We start from the raw sequence: 17,538 nt of genomic DNA, 5'->3' as shown, positions 1-17,538 counted from the left end.
AGCCGGGGAATATTCTTTTTCTACCAAATGTGTATTCAGTGGTCCTTACCTATGCTTTCTTCTCAGGGACATAAAAGCAGAATATTGCCATTTCATGGATTACAGAAGTAGCCTCCTAACAGGTTTCCTGGTTCCCCTCTCCAATTCATTTTCCACATCACATGCAAAGAGATTCTGCTAAAACAAAAGCTGGAGCATGCCCTCTCAATGGCTGCTCCTGTCTTCTGGATAAAGCTCCAAGCCCTTGATGCTTCTTGCAATGGTCTTGCATGCTCTGGCCCCATTATGGTTTCCCTTGGTCTCAGCTCTTTTCATTGGAATGGACTTCTTTCTGATCCTGCACTGTTCCCTTTGCCTTAGGCCAGCTACATCTGCTGTTCCCTGTGACTTGAACCCCTTCCTATGATTTCTAAGAGTTCTCATTCCTACTCACACATCTCTTATATTGACTTAAGATTCACATCCTCTGGAAACGATACGCAGTGAAGCTAAGACCCTGTTTTATATTATTAGTAGGCCATCTCTTGGACCAGCAGTTATAAATCAAAGACCACTGGTAGTGTAAGTACTTTGAAAAGAGATTTAGGATTATATATGTAGACAATCTGAAGCAATTATCAAAGCTAGGTTGGCTTCGTAATATTTTCTGACAGAATCATCTCTTTGGCACTGGATACTCTATGCAGCAAAAATATCCATCACATCCAAAGCTGCCTCTGCGTGCTTCAGAGCTTTCAAGAATAATTTCAAAATCCTTTCAGTCAGGCAAATTTTTACACTGAGTACTTTTTATTTGGTTTTAAAACCTAATGATCTATACGTTGCTGAACAGTTTGTTCTACCCTCTCTACTCTTTCATATTAAATTGAATTAAATAAACAAGACACATCAATGAAAAATCCAAATGTCAAAATGGCTGATTTTTAGCTCCCTTTGGCTAGAAAATATCAGTCCATGGACTCCTTCCAGGCGTGCATTGCCAGGGCATTCTGTACTGAAGCAGTGAGAAGTCTTCAAATCCATCTACAAAACACTCCAGAAAGCATCTCTTAACTGAGGATGTACAGAAAGACAGTACAAACTAAAGCATGTGTGTAAAGATCGGGCTCAGAAATCCTTTTAAAATCTAGAAGTCTAAGTGCTCATATTCCAAGCACGAAGGTGTTCATCTGAATTATCCCCTACTGGTCAATGGGCAGAACTGTTGCAGGGAGGTCAGCGGGCACACACTGAGGAGATGGGAACTGGGAACTTGCATTTGTGCCTGAACCTGAGCCATGCCTGAGAAAACCTGGACAGCACTCTTTTGGGGTCACGGACTTTTCCTGATGATTTACTCCTTTGAAGACAGTTCTGCTTGTGGCTAATGCTGAGGAATTAGAGGCTTACATGAAATGTATTCCAGGAGGATTTTTTCCCTAACATTTTGTTATGAAAATCTTTTCACATATAGAAGAGTTGAAATCATTTTACAGTGGACACCCATATACCTACCACATAGATTCCACCCGTAGCATTTCACCATACTTGCTTTAGCATATGTCTATATCATTTATCCTTTTGGGTGCATTTCAAAGGAAGTTACAGGCATCAATAAGAATACTTTATTATATGTGTTATTAACTAGGATTCATGAGGATTAAGAAGGGGGCTCTGCAACAGAAGCATGATTCTCTTTCTAGAACATTAATTCCACTGGGCCTAGGAATTCCCTGGGTGTCCCCTAAGGGAATCTATTCAGGACAAAGCCACGCATTTCATCTCTTCCTAAAGAACTACTTATACATACATCAGGGAAGAATATAAAAGGTGTTTTTTCTCCCCACTCCCCATACAATCTTGTCCATCAACATTATCAAATAGGTTGGCAGGGCTCCCTAGAGTGCTTTGTCATGACACCACTCATTTCATAGGTAGAGAAGACACAATCCTAGTTCTGCAGAAATTCTCAATAGCTCCTATTCTGATAGAGAATGACTTAATGAAGTTCTTGCATGTATTTAAGCCTGTCCCAATAAGAGATAATGTACTCTTATTAGTGAGCTCATCCTCAAGAGATGAGAAGAGATGGTTGTAATGAGAGCAGCTTGTGTCTGGATTGGCTTGGGTCTCACTGCAAAATAATTTTCCATTGTCTTAGGCATTCGCCTAAGAGAATGTTTAAAAAAAAGGAAGATAATTGGCATTGCTGTCAAGAGACTAACTGAATTTCCTTGTTTCATATTGTCAAACTTTTGAGAGGACTTAATTTGCCTTTTACAATGGGGAAGATGGTGAATTACAGAGAGAAGTGAGCTTTTGAGAGTATCCTAAAAAACCTGCAAAGACACTGAGAAAGCTGAGGGTTTGATGGAGCCTTTGGATACATGTTAAAGGCTATTGCCAACGTTTCCAGAGCTTTCAACCCATCCACCATCACACCCCCCAATGCAGGATATCCCACAGCCATCAAATCTGGGCATGAATTCTAGATACACTTTCCCTTCTCCTTATTGACTTCATTTTCCAAATCTATACAGAATATTTTTTATGACGGTAATGTGTGATACTACTCCTTTCCTCCCTTTAGCTCAAGAGTTAACAAACTTTTCTTAAAGAGCCAGGGAGTACATATTTTAGACTTTGCAGACTATAAAGTCTCTGTCACAACTACTCAATGCAGCTGTTGTAGTGTGAACACATAGACAATGCATAACAGAATGCACATGGCTGTGCTCAATAGAAATTTTGAGGACATTAGAATTTGAATCTCAAATGATTTTCATGTGCTCTAAAATATTCTTCTTCGTTTGATTATTTTTCAATCCGTTCAAAATGTCAAAATCATTCTTAGTGCACTGGCTGTGCAAACAGAGGCACTGGCCTGGATTTGAACCCTGTTCTTGTTTGGCACTATTCAATAGAACTGTCCGTAATTGTGGAAAAGTTGCATATTGGCACTGTCCAATACCACAGCCACTAGCTACATGGGAACACTGAGCACATGAAATGTGCTAGTGTGACTGAGAAACTGAATTTTAAATTTTATTCAATTTTTCAATAATTTATATTTAAATAGCCCTGTATGGCTAGTGTTTACCACCTTGGACAGTACAGCTCCATAATTTTCTTTCCTATTAACTTGAAAAAATGGTCTTATCTCTTGCCTACATTAAAATGGACCCCTAAATCCTTTCCTTTGCTGCTTAAGTTATATAGCCATAACTCTGGGGAGACAACAGTTGATGTCTTGATTTTATATATTACATCGCGAACACAGGGAAACACACATAGCAAATGCAAATACCTATACTGCACATGTGCATATGATCCTGATATAGCTCTTCATTGGAATTCCATCACTTCCAAATTCAGTGAACAAATAATCATGGGGAAAAATGCCTACCACTTAGTAAGGATAGTTCCCTCCTATTCAATGTCTATTACAAAAAATGCAGCATTGGATAATGAAAACTATCATATAGTATAAACTTAAACTTTTATGGTGGTTTCCTTAATTACTTGTTACAAAATCCTATACCTCCTTTAGACAGCTTGAAATAATGAACTTGCAAAACTGACCTAAGAGATGTCATCTGAAATACGCAAAGTGATAATTTCCAAGTAAATGACAGTACATAAACTCTAGGTCATCTTAAATCAAATCTCAGCACTTCATGCTGAGCTCACAGGTCAAGGCCAGAGAAGCCAACCACTGAAACACAGACGCATAAAATCACTATTATTTAAATGACTTTGGTAACAACCATTTAGCATACCTGTGAAGTCTTATTCATTATAAAATGATGCGATTATATTTTTCATCTTGATTAAACCCATTTAGAGTGAAACTTCTATCATCATTGGCAAAGATGATTTAGGGTTAACTGAGGAAATTCTAGAGTGAGAGATGAGTGAGAGTTTTCTGTCATGGGTAACACAAAACAATAGAGAAGAAGTTTAAGTTAATGGTGAGAAAATAAACACTTGCCCTTACAATCCTAGTGCTGAGTTTAGAATAATCCTAGGCCTAGTTGCTCCTTGAAAACTCTCCATGGCTCCATCTGAGGCCTTCTTTTCTTTTCTTTTTTTTTTTTTTTGAGACGGAGTCTCGCTCTGTTGCCCAGGCTGGAGTGCAGTGGCGCGATCTCCTGCTCACTGCAAGCTCTGCCTCCCGGGTTCATGCCATTCTCCTGCCTCAGCCTCTCGAGTAGCTGGGACTACAGGCGCCTGCCACCACGCCCACCTAATTTTTTATATTTTTAGTAGAGACGGGGTTTCACCATGTTAGCCAGGATGGTCTCGATCTCCTGACCTCGTGATCCACCCGCCTCGGCCTCCCAAAGTGCTGGGATTACAGATGTGAGCTGCTGCGCCTGGTGAGGCCTTCTTTTCTTTGTCATGCTATATTCTCTCCACTTTCCTTCCATTTTATGTATGACTCACAAATCTTTTATCTCCAGCTAAGACTTCTCTTCTCAATTCCAAAGTGGTACATTTCACCATCCACATGACTTCTCTAGATGCCTGAAAACATCTCAGTCATACTATGTCCAACGTTGCTGTCATGGCTCCCTCCCCCTCATTCCCAGTTTGGCAGTTTGACACCTAGCCCAGGAATGGGAGTCAAAATCCACTCAGTTGCACAAACCACATGTCTAGGCAATTCCTTGACTCCTCCCTTTCCCTGTATCCTACAGCCAATCCGGCTCCAGGCCCTGTTTCTCACATCCTTCTACCTCTGTCCATCACCACTGTCATAAACCGACTCCACACTGCCAGAGTCTCTTGCCTGCACTAACATAATATCCCTAGCTAATCTTTTGCAACCCGCTTGCCCCTTCTACCCTTTAATTTGCTCCCCACATTAATCAATAAAAATATTTTCAAAGTCTAAATCTGATCATATCACTACCTTCAGCCAGCCTTAAGTCTTATTAGGATAAAAGCCAAAATTGTTAATGCAGCAGCCAAGGCTTTATGGGTTTCATTTCTGTCTACCTTTCTGGCTCCATTGTATATTCTTTTCCTGATGCTCTGTGGTCTATCTACCATGACTCTTCAGTTCCTTGCACACACCATGGTCCCTCCTATCACAGGGACTTTGCGTGTATTATTCTCCGTATCTGAAAGGGTTTCTCTTCATCCACACACTCTTTCTCACTCTACCAGACCTTATACCATTTACCTAGTTAATTCCTACTCAGCCTTTGGCTCTTAGTTCAAATATCACTTGCTCCAAGATGTTCTGCCTGATCTTCGATCCCCTATACCTACCTTGCTCAGACCAGTCTGGGTTTTCCTGGCACCATGCTCCTTTCTTTCAGATAACTTGTCTGGGTTTGTAGCTAGACAATTAGTTCAGGAGATCATTTGTTTATTGGTTCCTTCTCTCCTTTTTTGGGGGGGTAAATTTCACTGGAGCAGGGACAATGTCTACTTTTTACAAAGTATGGTTTCTCCAGAACTTGGTCACTGGCATATTGAATACATTCAAAAAACGTGTGAATGAATAAAATGAGTACAATGAGGACCTGGGGATAGTGTAGGTGAGTCTATGGTGGCATCTGGGGATGGGAAGAGATATAATGCCAACCTTCCTTGCAAGCCCAAGCTACTCCAATGATGCTTCACCTCTGTGGCCAGTGTTGACCCATGAACTCAATATCCAGACATCAACCAATATCCAGGATGTTATGGGGTGTGTGTTATGATTGGCTTACTAATTTTTCCTCCCTTACTCCAAGTTACCTTTTTATTCTTATTCTCAATTTTCCCCTTATCTCATATTCCCCAATTATTTTTTATGGATTTTTATCTTTCAGTGATGCATGCATTATTATTATTTGGTTCCTTCTGAGACCAAAACTACCTTTTAATAAATAACACTTATAATTATAATTTATGAATCCCAGTCCTCATTGTACTGCTAAGCCTCGAAAATCCAAGCTGAAATCCAATTCTGGTGGCCAGAATACAGTAGCCAGCTGGATATGCAAGCCTCATCATCTCAGTAGCATTATTCTTGTTTTGCCCTTAAGGCTACTTGCAGTTTCTATCACACACTCTTTCTCATCCACTTCCTGCCATTCCTGAGTTCTCCTGAATTTCTCCTGCCACAAAATATGGATTAATAAAGCAGAAACAGGGCCCATTCAAATTCTAGCATCCAATGAAAATAAAAGACAGAGAAAGCATGCAGCCAGCATTTTAAACCTGTCCTTTAATATCTCAGGATTTACCATGAAAATATTTTTCTGAGAACAGGTTCTGGGGTCTATGCTTAGTGTATCCACCCTTTTTCCCAATGTCCCCTTTCCAGAGATATATTTGTATCCAGCTGACATTGATTCATGCAGCCAGATGGCAAAGGACAGAGCCGGACCACTCTAGGCAATGTGTGTCCTACTTACAGGCCCAACAATCTGCAGTCTAATAGTAAATAAAGGTATTGAGCTTTTAAGTTTCAAAAAACGCAATTTTGTTTGTTGGTTATCCTACATGTAGCATGGACAGTCTGAATGCTGGATGTGTCAATTCCAACAAGCAAGGAGATAAGATGTTAAACTGATTCCCCAAGGCGGGATAGAGAGAAGTATAGTGGGTGTCATTGCCAACCCTGTGAGATGCTGACAAACCCACCGAGAACCAGGAGTAAATGTTAAGGAACCTAAGGAACAAAATTATCACTGGCAGACAATTGTAATGACCTTGTGATATGGTGGAAAGTGTCCCAGGGTATTTAGAATGTGTAAGATCTTCAAGGGCCTTCTGAACTATCTGAAAGAGATGGTAGAGGCATTCCTGTGTAGAAGGCGTTAGTGCTGAGAGCTTGTTCCCTGATGGAAACAGGATATAAATCAAAGGGATATAAATTGAATCAGAGCATTCCATAGAAACAAAGATGCCACTAGGGAATATGCTCTCACATCAAGACATATTAGTTCAGAATGGCCTTGTTCAAAAATGGCCACAGGTATGTCAAATCAAATATCAATAGTTGAATATGGTATAAAACTGGGTAAAGTGTACACGAATTGATTAGCAACCTAATATAATACAGTTGTCCCTAGGCATCCATGGGGGATTGGTTCCAGGACCCTCTTTGGATGCCAAAATCCACGGATGCACAAGTTCCTTATTTAAAGTGGTGCAGGCAGGGGTGGTGGCTCTGGCGGGGCATGATGGCTCAGGCCTGTAATCCTAGCACTTTGGGAGGCTGAGGCAGGCAGATCACCTGAGGTCAGGAGTTTCAGACTAGCCTGGCCAACATGGTGAAACCCCATCTGTACTAAAAACACGAAAATTAGCTGGGCGCAGTGGCGCATGCCTGTAATCTCAGCTACCAGGGAGGCTGAGGCAGGAGAATCACTGGAACACAGGAGGCGAAGACTGCAGTGAGCCTAGATTGCGTCACTGTACTCCAGCCCGGGTGACAGAGCAAGACTCTGTCTCAAAAAACAAAAAACAAAAAAGGGGTGTAGTATTTGCATATGCCCGTTGCACATCCACTTATACACTGTGAATCATCTCTAGGCTAGTTATAATACCTAACTCAATGTAAATTTAGGGAATAATGATAATACCTAACTCAATGATTTAGGGAATAACGACAAGGACAAAAATCTATACACGTTCAGTACAGACACCGTTTTTTCCCCCAAATATTTCTGATCTGCAGTTGGTTGAGTCCATGGATGTGGAACCCATGGATACAAAGGGCTGACTGAGCTGTAACAGGGAACTTTATAGAGATATCTCTGTTCTCTTCTACTCACATCTTAATTTTATTGCAACAGATCAAAGGTAGAAATATCATTTCATTAGTCAGTCTTGGAACTCAGAGGGGTCTTCCCAGCTGGGGTTTTCAATGACATATCTGAGGAAGCGTTTAGGAAGATGAGGGACTATTGTTTAACCAACTAATCCAGGGACTTGTGTTTTGCTGCTTTTTAGTTTTTCTTTCTCGTGGAAACTCTGGCATTGGTGCAATGACTAGCTTTGTGTCCTAAAGCTCCCCTTACCTCTGATAGTCTCATCCTTTAATCTCCACACTGGCTTTAGGTATCACTATAGAATTATTGAAGAAAAATGCCCAGAATCCTACCCACAGTATTTTGGCAACTTAGCTTCCAGATCATTTGGTTCCTGATTTTACTCTGATCTTCTTAGGCACCTGGAGGCCTGTCCATTCCCAGCACAGGGTTCCTGGCTACCTTCCTGTTCACTCTGTATTCTTAGTATGCAGCGCAGTGCCTGACACATACTAAATGCTTAATAAATATCTTTTGGATGAATATTTAAAGTGAATGGGTCTGAACTTTACTGTTTCCCCAATTTAAAAAATAAGAATATATATGCAACCTTCTATTGCCCAACTATTTAGTCTGCAAAATATTAACTCATTCTATAAAGTTGTTGAATATCTCCTCTATGCCAGGTGCTTGGAGAAATAACAGAGACGCGGCCCCTGTGTGGGGACGAAACAAGTTATAAACAAGTAATCACAAGAATAAGATATTTTCAGAATGATGGTGCCACACATTAAAAGAAAAAAAAAAGGAAAAAAGATAGAAACTACTCTGCCATTTGAGAAAGTCTCTCTGCAAAGAAACATTTGAACCAAGAACTGCAGAAAAAGGTACCAGTGTGGAGATATCTGGAGGAATTGTGGCCTAGCAGCAGAAACAGGAGAAGCATGGTTCCATCTGGGGACAGACAAAGAGCTGGAACAGTGGAAGTATAGTGCACACTGCGAGGGGGCGGGTGGAGAGGGATACAGCGCCAGGCTGTGTAGACGCCTACTGAGAAGGTAGGACTTGACACCTTCTGACAAACCCACAGAGCGGGGTAGTGGCTTTATCTGAATGACTTGAATGTCCACTTTTTATATGTAATTACTGTTAATCAGTTTAACATAATAAAAAATTTGAATGATGCTGACATGCGAAAATATCCCATCTGTCAAAATTATTCTTACAGTAAACTGATATATCATAACTACTCTCCTCCCTCCATTTTTAAAAGTGTCATTTAAATATATATATATATATATATATATATATATATATATATATATATATATATATATATACATATTTTTTTTTTTTTTTTTTTTGAGACGGAATCTTGCTCTGTTGCCCAGGCTGGAGTGCAGAGGCGTGATCTCAGCTTGCCACAACCTCCGCCTCCCAGGTTCAAGCAATTCTCCTGCCTCAGCCTCCTGAGTAGCTGGGATACAGACGCAGGCCACCATGTCTGGCTAATTTTTATATTTTTAGTAGAGATGTGGTTTCACCATTTTGGCCAGGCTGGTCTCGAACTCCTGACCTCGTGATCCACCCACCTCAGCCTCCCAAAGTGCTGGGTTTACAGGCATGAGCCACCGCACCCGGCCTTAAATATATTTTTTAACTAAAAAAATTTTTCTTTTACCTCTACTCAAGATAGCTTTGATCTCTTCAATATTGAGTACATATAAAAGAGGGTAAAATAGTCATAAGATATAAAGAACATTGAAGCATAAACACCTACTGACTAGTTTATAAAATCCTCTCTCCTTCCCTGACTCCTCAGAGGTAATGAGAGTCTTGAATTTTTTGGTTTTATTGTTCTCATACTTTAAAAAATTGATTGGTATCATATTTGTATACTAAAATATTGATTCATTTTGCATGCTTTTAAACTTATTGGATTGAATCATACTGTATATATTTTCCTCCCACTTGTTTTTTTAACTAAATATTTTGATGATGAAATTTATCCAAGTTGTTATGTGTAGCTACAAGTCATATTTATTTAGTTGTTGTGTAATATTCTTTTGTAGGAATATATTAACATTGCTTTATTCTACTATTATAGGTGGGTTATTTTTCATTTCTTTTTCTAGTACAGAGAGTGTTGCTATGAACACTCTGGCACAACGCTCCTGATACACATATGCTACAATTTCTCTAGGGAGTTTCTACCTTGATGAGGAATTTCTGGTTATAGGACTGTACACCTTCAACTTAACTAGATAATCTCAAATTGTTTTTCAGAGTGTTTGCACCAGTTTTTACTCCCACCTGCAGTTTACAGTTGTCCCAGATGCACCATATCCTTGCAAATCACTTGATATTGTTAGACTTAAAAAATTTGCCTGTCTGAAGGCATAAAATAATATAACACTGTGGTTTCAATGTGCATTTCTTTGATTACTAATGAGCTTGAGCCTATTTATATGTTGCCAATCGTTTGTGTTTTTCCATATTAGAAGCACCTGTTTGAGTTTTTCCACATTTTTCTACTGTTTGTCTTTCACTTAATCTGTAGGAATTTCATATATAATAATATAATACTATGTTATAATATATTACTATAATATAGAGTATATATAATACTATATAATACAGTTGACTCTGTATCCATGGGTTCTCTGTATCTGCTGGTTGAATTCGTATCCACCTATTCACCCAATTGTAACTCAAAAAATTTTGAAAAAAAAAAACATAAATAAAACATAATACAAATTATAACCAATACAGTGTAACAAGTATTTATATGGCATTTTAGGTAGTATAAGTAATCTGGAGAGGATTTAATATATATAGGAGGATGAATAGGTTTTACTATATATAATATATATTTATAATACATATAAATAAACCACAGTGTTACACTATTTTATACCTCTACACTGGCATATCTGAGGAAGTGTTTAGGAATATGAGGGACCATTATTTAACCAACTAAACCAGGGATTCATGTTTTGCTACTTTTTATTTTTAAGTCTAATGATATTAAGTAATTTTCAAGGATATGGTGCATCTGGGACAACTGTAAACTGTTGGTGGAAGTAAAAATTGGTGCAAACCCTCTGGAAATCAATTTGAGACTATCTACACCATTTTGTGTCAGGTGCTCAGCATCTGCAGGTTTTGGTATCTGGGCGGGGTGGGTCCTAGAACAAATCCCTCATGGTTAGCAAAGGATGATGTATAACACTAATTTTTGATTAAGTTTTAAGTGTAGGAGTTATCTGTCTTTTTACTCTCTTCAAAGTGTCTTTTGATGAACAGAATATCTTACCTTCAATTTAGCCCAAATTATCAATCTTTCTGTTAAATTTTGTTCTTTTTCTATATTGGTAAAGAAAAACCTTCCTTTTCCCAAATGCACAAAGGTATTCTACATAATATTCTAAAGATTTATAGTTTTATATTTCATATTTAATTCTTGAAACCACATAGATAGGATTTTTGTGTGTGAGGTGAGGTAGGAATCCAATTTAGTTTTTTTCCATATCAATAATAATAGTTCTTTCAATGTTTATTGAAAAGCCTGAGTTTCTCCACATGTCTCCAGTGCCATCTCTCTCATAAATCAAGTTCTCACATCAGTGTGCGCTTATTCATAGATCACATATTTGTGCCAATGTTAAAGCTGCCAGTATCCCACTAATATCTTAATTACTACATATTCAGAATGATTTTTGATATGTGATGAATCTTTATGTTCTGTCCCACTTCAGAAACATCTTGGTAATTCCTGGGCCATTGCTTTACCATAAAAATTTTGGAATCAGCTTGTCAAATTCTACAAATGTTGACTTTTTTTGGTACTGCATTTAATCTATAGATCAATTTGGGAGAACTTTTTTTTTTTTTTTTTTGAGACTGAGTCTCCCTCTGTCACCCAGGCTGGAGAGTGCAGTGGCACAATCTTGGCTCACTGCAGCCTCCGCCTCCTGGGTTCAAGCGATTCTACTGCCTCAGCCTCCCAAGTAGCTGGGATTACAAGCACATGCCACCACACCCAGCTAATTTTTGTATTTTTAGTAGAGACGGGGTTTCACCATGTTGGCCAGAACTTATTTTTATGCTATTGGCTCTTCCAATTCATAAGCATGTTATAATAGACCTTGTTTGATGTTATACCCAATAATAACTTTACTTGTTATGATGTTATATATTTTTTAAGTTATTCTAGCTGCCTGTTGCTTATATATGGAAATGAAATGGATTTTTATAAATTAATTTTATATTCAGCATATTTGCTAACTCATTAACTTATCTGTAGATTATTCTGAATAGTTATTCACATCATTTGCAAATATTTTTTCATTTAATATCTGAACATTGTATCTTTTATTTATTCTTCTTGTCTTACTGCATTGAACAGAAAGGGATAATAGTGGGCATCTTTTTGTCTGACTAGCATATGGAGATATGATTTCCTTTAGTGAAGATTTGCTGGTGGGAAACCCTCAGTCCTCACTGTATCCTTGCTCCCCATCTTTTGTCTTCCTGGGCTGTGCTAAAAATCTCTTTATTACTTTCATTGTTAAATGATACTTGTGTTTCTGGAACTTAAATATGATACTTATATTTAGATGTGGCATTGTTTAAAATACACTATGCTTGAGATTTCTTAATCTATGAATTTGTGAATCTATGAATTAATCCAGAATTAATTTTATTAATTCTGAAACATAACCTCTTCAGATAATCTCCTGTACCTATTTGCTCTCACCTCTTCTCATTCTATCCTTCGTGCCTCTTGATCTCTCTACCATATTTTCCATGTCTTTGATACTTTGCTGTATTCTTGCTAATTATATAGATCACTAAAAATTTACTAATTCTCTTTCTGTTGCTATAACTATGCATTGCATTTTAAATATATTTTTCACTTATAGAGAATCAATTTGTTTGTTTGCAAATGTGCTTCATCGCTTTTTTTAGTCAGTTGCTTTTTACTCATATTGTCAACCTTAAAAGTACTTGCTTAATATTCTGTTTCTCATAATTCCAAAATCTCAAGTTTTTGTAGGGGTCATTCTGCTGTCTGTTATTTTTGCTCTTTCTCACTCATGGACTTTCTTCGTATTCATTGTGATTGCTTTCATGTGGTGAATTTCCTGGAACTTTATCTGTAGTAATAGTTTAAGGTCTGGTTTAAAGATGGGTTCCTTTTTAAACAAACTGATTAATTATGTCAGGAGCCCAGAGGATTTCCAGGATGAGACAGATTTAAATTAAATCTCTTTGTTTTTTGGTATTCTGAAATTTTCCAGTTTGGAGCCTAAGCGTGGGTCATTTCTTTCTTGTTGCTGAGCACTCAGTTTGGCCCTTCAGTCTGGCCCTGAGTTTGTCAGGTGGGGTGAATTCAGGCTTCAAACCCCCCAGTGAGGACCAGCTTGCAATCATGAATTCTCAGGGAGAATTTTTTCCTCCTCTATTCTACACCAAGTTTCAATACCAAGTTCTACCAAGCTGACACTGATAGACACCTTCAAGATAAAGGACAGCTTGCATGCTCTGCTCACCTCTCTGGTACCTGCTTTCACTTGGACCTTGTCCTCTGAGCGTTCTCTACTTTTTTCCCATTCATTGATGCATTTAAACATATTTTAAAAAGTTATACAGAGTTTTCATTGGAAGCTCAGGTCTCTCTGTTTTGTTTTCTTGATATTTTGTTATCTTAGATTATATCAGCAACAGATGCGGCATTTTCTATGGCAGAGGGAAACAGGTGACTTCAGGATTGCTTCAGAATCACTGTAATTCTACTAAGAACCAATCAAGTTTGAAGGGCTCATTAACAGAAATGTGATGATATCAAGAAACTATAATGGCTCCTTTTAGCCTGAATTGGATTTCTTTTTAAAGCTAGAAATAGAAAGGGCACTTGAAAGAAGTGGTTCCAGATGAACAGTTAGAGGAAAGCTTAGAATTTCAAACAAGCTCTCATTTAAAACTAACTTTTATCACTAATGGATTATCTTGCATTAACATGAAGAATACTTTTAATCACCCAGATAATACATAATTACATTATTTCAGTAAACACATGCAAACAAACAATATGGATAGCTGCAAAGCACCCTTTGGCCACCTCCCTAATCCCAGTCCCCTCCCCCAGGTAAACCATGGTTTAAGTTTGGTATGTAGATGTCCAGAAATTCTCTGTTCATTCATATTCATATATATGCTTATAGAAAGAACAGAATTTGTTTTGCCTTTTAGAAAAATATATAGATGGTACAGTATTTTGTATGTCTGAACATGTTTTTGTTCTATTCTCTGGCTTGATAGTATGGCTTCAGAATTCCCCATTAAATTATTTTAGGACTTTGAATGCTTTGCTTTACTCTTCAAACTTTCATTTTCTGTAGAGATGCCTGATCTCATTCTGACTTTCAATTTGTGAGTGGTAGTTTTTGTTCTGGAAATGTTGAAAAAAATTCTTTTTGTTTTTGGTATTCCAAAATTTTCCAGTTTGGAGCCTAAGTGTGGGTCATTTCTTTCTTGTGGCTGGGCACTCAGTTTGGCCCTTCAGTCTGGTAATTAATATTCTTCAGTTGTGAAAATGTTTCTTATAATATTTCTTTGATAATTTACCTCCCTTGGTTTTCTCTTTCCAGTGTCCCTCTCAGATGGGATCCTGTGCTCTGGGCACTTAGCTGTATCTCCTGGTTTTTTCTGAAAGATCAGTTCCTTCCCATTTGTTTGCTTTTAATTATTTATTGCTCTCTTATACACTGGTATCTCATCTTTCATATTCTTTGCCACTGTTTTACTTTTCTCTTCACTACCATTTTATAAGATACCATTAAATATCACTTCCAGGAATCTTTGCCACAATCCTCCTTAGGAATATCTATAAACAGGTTATATGTGTTCTATTAATATATCTTATGGTTTCTGTTGTTTTGTTTCATATTATACATAATTAGATAGACAGATAGATATTATTGATGCTATAGAGGAAAACTATTGATTTTCAAATTTTAAACACTACATCTAGCCCCTAACTAAATTCTTCTCTATGTTTTCAATTGTTTTATGATCAGCAGATAATTTTTTAATAGTCAGATATTTCTAGATCTTTTGTTGTACTGTAACTCACTAAGATGCATTATGGTTGGGAGAAGAGAGTGGTCGGGTTTGAGGTCGGGAGTACAAAGCAAGGAGGCTGAAGATTAGACTTCTGACCTGGCCCTACCACTGCCTGTAAGTGGACCTCTTGGGCCTCTTTCCACGTCGGCTAAATGAAAGTGTCAGCTCCAATTGTGTCAACACCACCTCTTACCATCTATGTAATTTTGTGAAATTGTACACCTTAGGTTTGCCAGGGTTAGCAATGGCTCTTTCATCCCACCGTTGCAAGATGATAAATTTAACTTGCCCATGGCCCATCAACGCACTTTTGTGTGAGTAATAAAAATAGCAGAGCATGGCACTACAGTCTGAACACCAGATATTGCCAGAAGTCTGTCCAGTGGGAAAATCCTCTATTAAGGAAGAGAAGATAAATCTGAAGAACTGTCATTCCTGGACACTGGAGGTAATTAAAGCAAAGCCCTCAAGGTTATGTCATCAATTTTTCAATTAATATGCCTCCCTCCCCCTTTAATTGTGTATAAATTCATAACAGCTGAAAATGAATAAAGGAAGGAACCCAGAGAAAAGAAGACTGGAACAAACAATGAAGCAGTGCAGCGATGACCTGTTTACCTGACATCTGCACAGTAGAGAAGGGAAGCACATGATCCGAAATCAAAGCGGACTGGGGTTTTTAGATAATGGACATTACACCTGTATGGTTAGTGTGGATTGCTGTGCAGCAAGACACAATCAAGTCTGCTCATTGGGGAATCTGTTTGCTAAGAAAAGCAAAAAGACGGGAGACTAGATTTCTGGCCTGGCCCTACTCCTGCCTGTAAGTGGACCTCTCTGGGCCTCTTTCTACATCTGCTAAATGAAGGTGTCAGTCCAACTTATGTCAAAACCATAGCAATGGATTAACAAATGTAAGAGATTAGTAGTGCACATGATACAAAATGCAAAGAGAGTAAGAGGATATTTATGGGAACCCATCCTTCCTACCTGTTATTGTTTCATAATATAATTTCATGGACAATAAAAGTACCAACATAAGCTTCTTTAGTTTAGAGAACTGTACCAAAAGCAATGAGTAAACCTGCCTTTTAAATATGTTTACACACACACACACACACACACACACACACACATGCAAGTACATACCATAGGTGGATAGGTGGATGAAAGAATGGATGGATGGATGGATAAATGGATGGATGGATAGATGGAACACTACTTATAAATCCCTGTCCTCCAATTTTAAGAGAGAAAAGATGTTAAAAGGAAAGAACTATTTTCTACTCTACTCTTTGATAAGTGAGTGACTATTGTAATTTCAAGATTGGAAATCTAGGTGTTAAATTCATTCTCGAAATGTAATATTTAGGTTTCTCAACTAAATTAGCTTCAATCCTTAGACAGAATGTTCCAAAAGGCCAGAATCCTGTCAGAACAAGGATAGAAGCATAATGCCATCGACAAACACCACACACATCTATACTCTTCATCTTGGGCTGTTGTAAAATCTCACACAATACCTTTTTCACATTTACTTTTGCTAATAAGACTTAAATACTGAGGGACTGTAGATATACGAATGATCATGATAAAGCTCTGACCAATACATCTAAGAATATAATTAGGCACAAAATTTAAATAAAAAGAAAAAGTCATTTCTAAAACTCCCAGCTGAACCCCACTTCTGGTAGTCACATCAGGGCAGAGGAAAAACCTACAAATCACATAGAAAGCTTCATTCACACTGGACCCTTGCTGTGGCAGGCATTCACCTATGAATTCCGCTACAGGAAAAATCAATTGAAATACCACCAGAAAAGTCAAAAGCCAGTTTGTCTATTAGGAATATTTGATTTTATTCATTAATATTTATTTATTTATTTAAAACAGAATCTTGCTCTGTTGCCCTGGCTGTGCAGTGGTGTGATCATAATTCACTGCAGCCTGCAATTCCTGGGCTCAAGTGATCCTCCCGCCTCAGCCTCCTCAGTAGCTGGGACTACAGGCATGTGTTACCATGCCCAGCTAATTTTTTAAAATTTTTTTAGAGATAGGGTCTCACTATCTTGCCCAGGCTGATTTCGATTTCCTTGGCTCAAGTGATCCTCCCACTTCAGGCTCCCAAAGTGCTGGGATTATAGGTGTGAGCCACCGTGCCTGGCCCTCATTCATTTTTACAACAAATCCATCACCTCCCAATGTTTCTTTCTGCCCCTTTTATTATGATGGTTGGGTCTTCTTTGAGTGTGGTGAAATAGTTTACTTTAGAGCTGGTCTCAGTAAGATATTCTGAGATTTTAAGTATGAAACAGACATTTAAAAACAAAAAAACAGATTTCTGAATGTAACAGCAGAATTGAGTCTCTCTTTCAGCCATGAAATAGCAAACATTTTTTTCTTCAAAAAAATGTGAGTTTAAAGGCTTTGCCTAAAAATCTTGCCAAAGCTTTCCGCGAGTGAGTAGACTTGGTAGAGAAATGTATTAGAAAAACAGGAAAATGCAGGCTCCACCTAAGCCAGTGTGCCTTTTGTTCCATGTGACCTAATGTTCATGAGACTGTTTGTTATTCACCTCATTACAAACATCTATCTGTCACAGCAGGTGTTGGGTCAGGAGAGGACGCGGTGTCCAGGAAACCTGAAATCAGGTTAGAAACCTCCCAGGCGACCAATT

General features: G+C 38.1%; 1 protein-coding gene across 2 annotated transcripts in view; it reads right to left on the bottom strand.

Moving 5' to 3' along the window:
* PLCB1 (phospholipase C beta 1) overlaps positions 1–17,538 on the bottom strand; it is a 752,635-nt gene that overhangs the window by 54,326 nt on the left and 680,771 nt on the right. The gene's annotated exons all lie outside the window — the stretch shown is intronic.

This window comes from Homo sapiens, chromosome 20 (genome assembly GCF_000001405.40).
Source record: "Homo sapiens chromosome 20, GRCh38.p14 Primary Assembly".
NCBI classification, from domain to species: domain Eukaryota; kingdom Metazoa; phylum Chordata; class Mammalia; order Primates; family Hominidae; genus Homo; species Homo sapiens.
The sequence above is the reverse complement of the archived record's forward strand: the minus strand, read 5'-3'. Positions and strand labels throughout refer to the sequence as shown.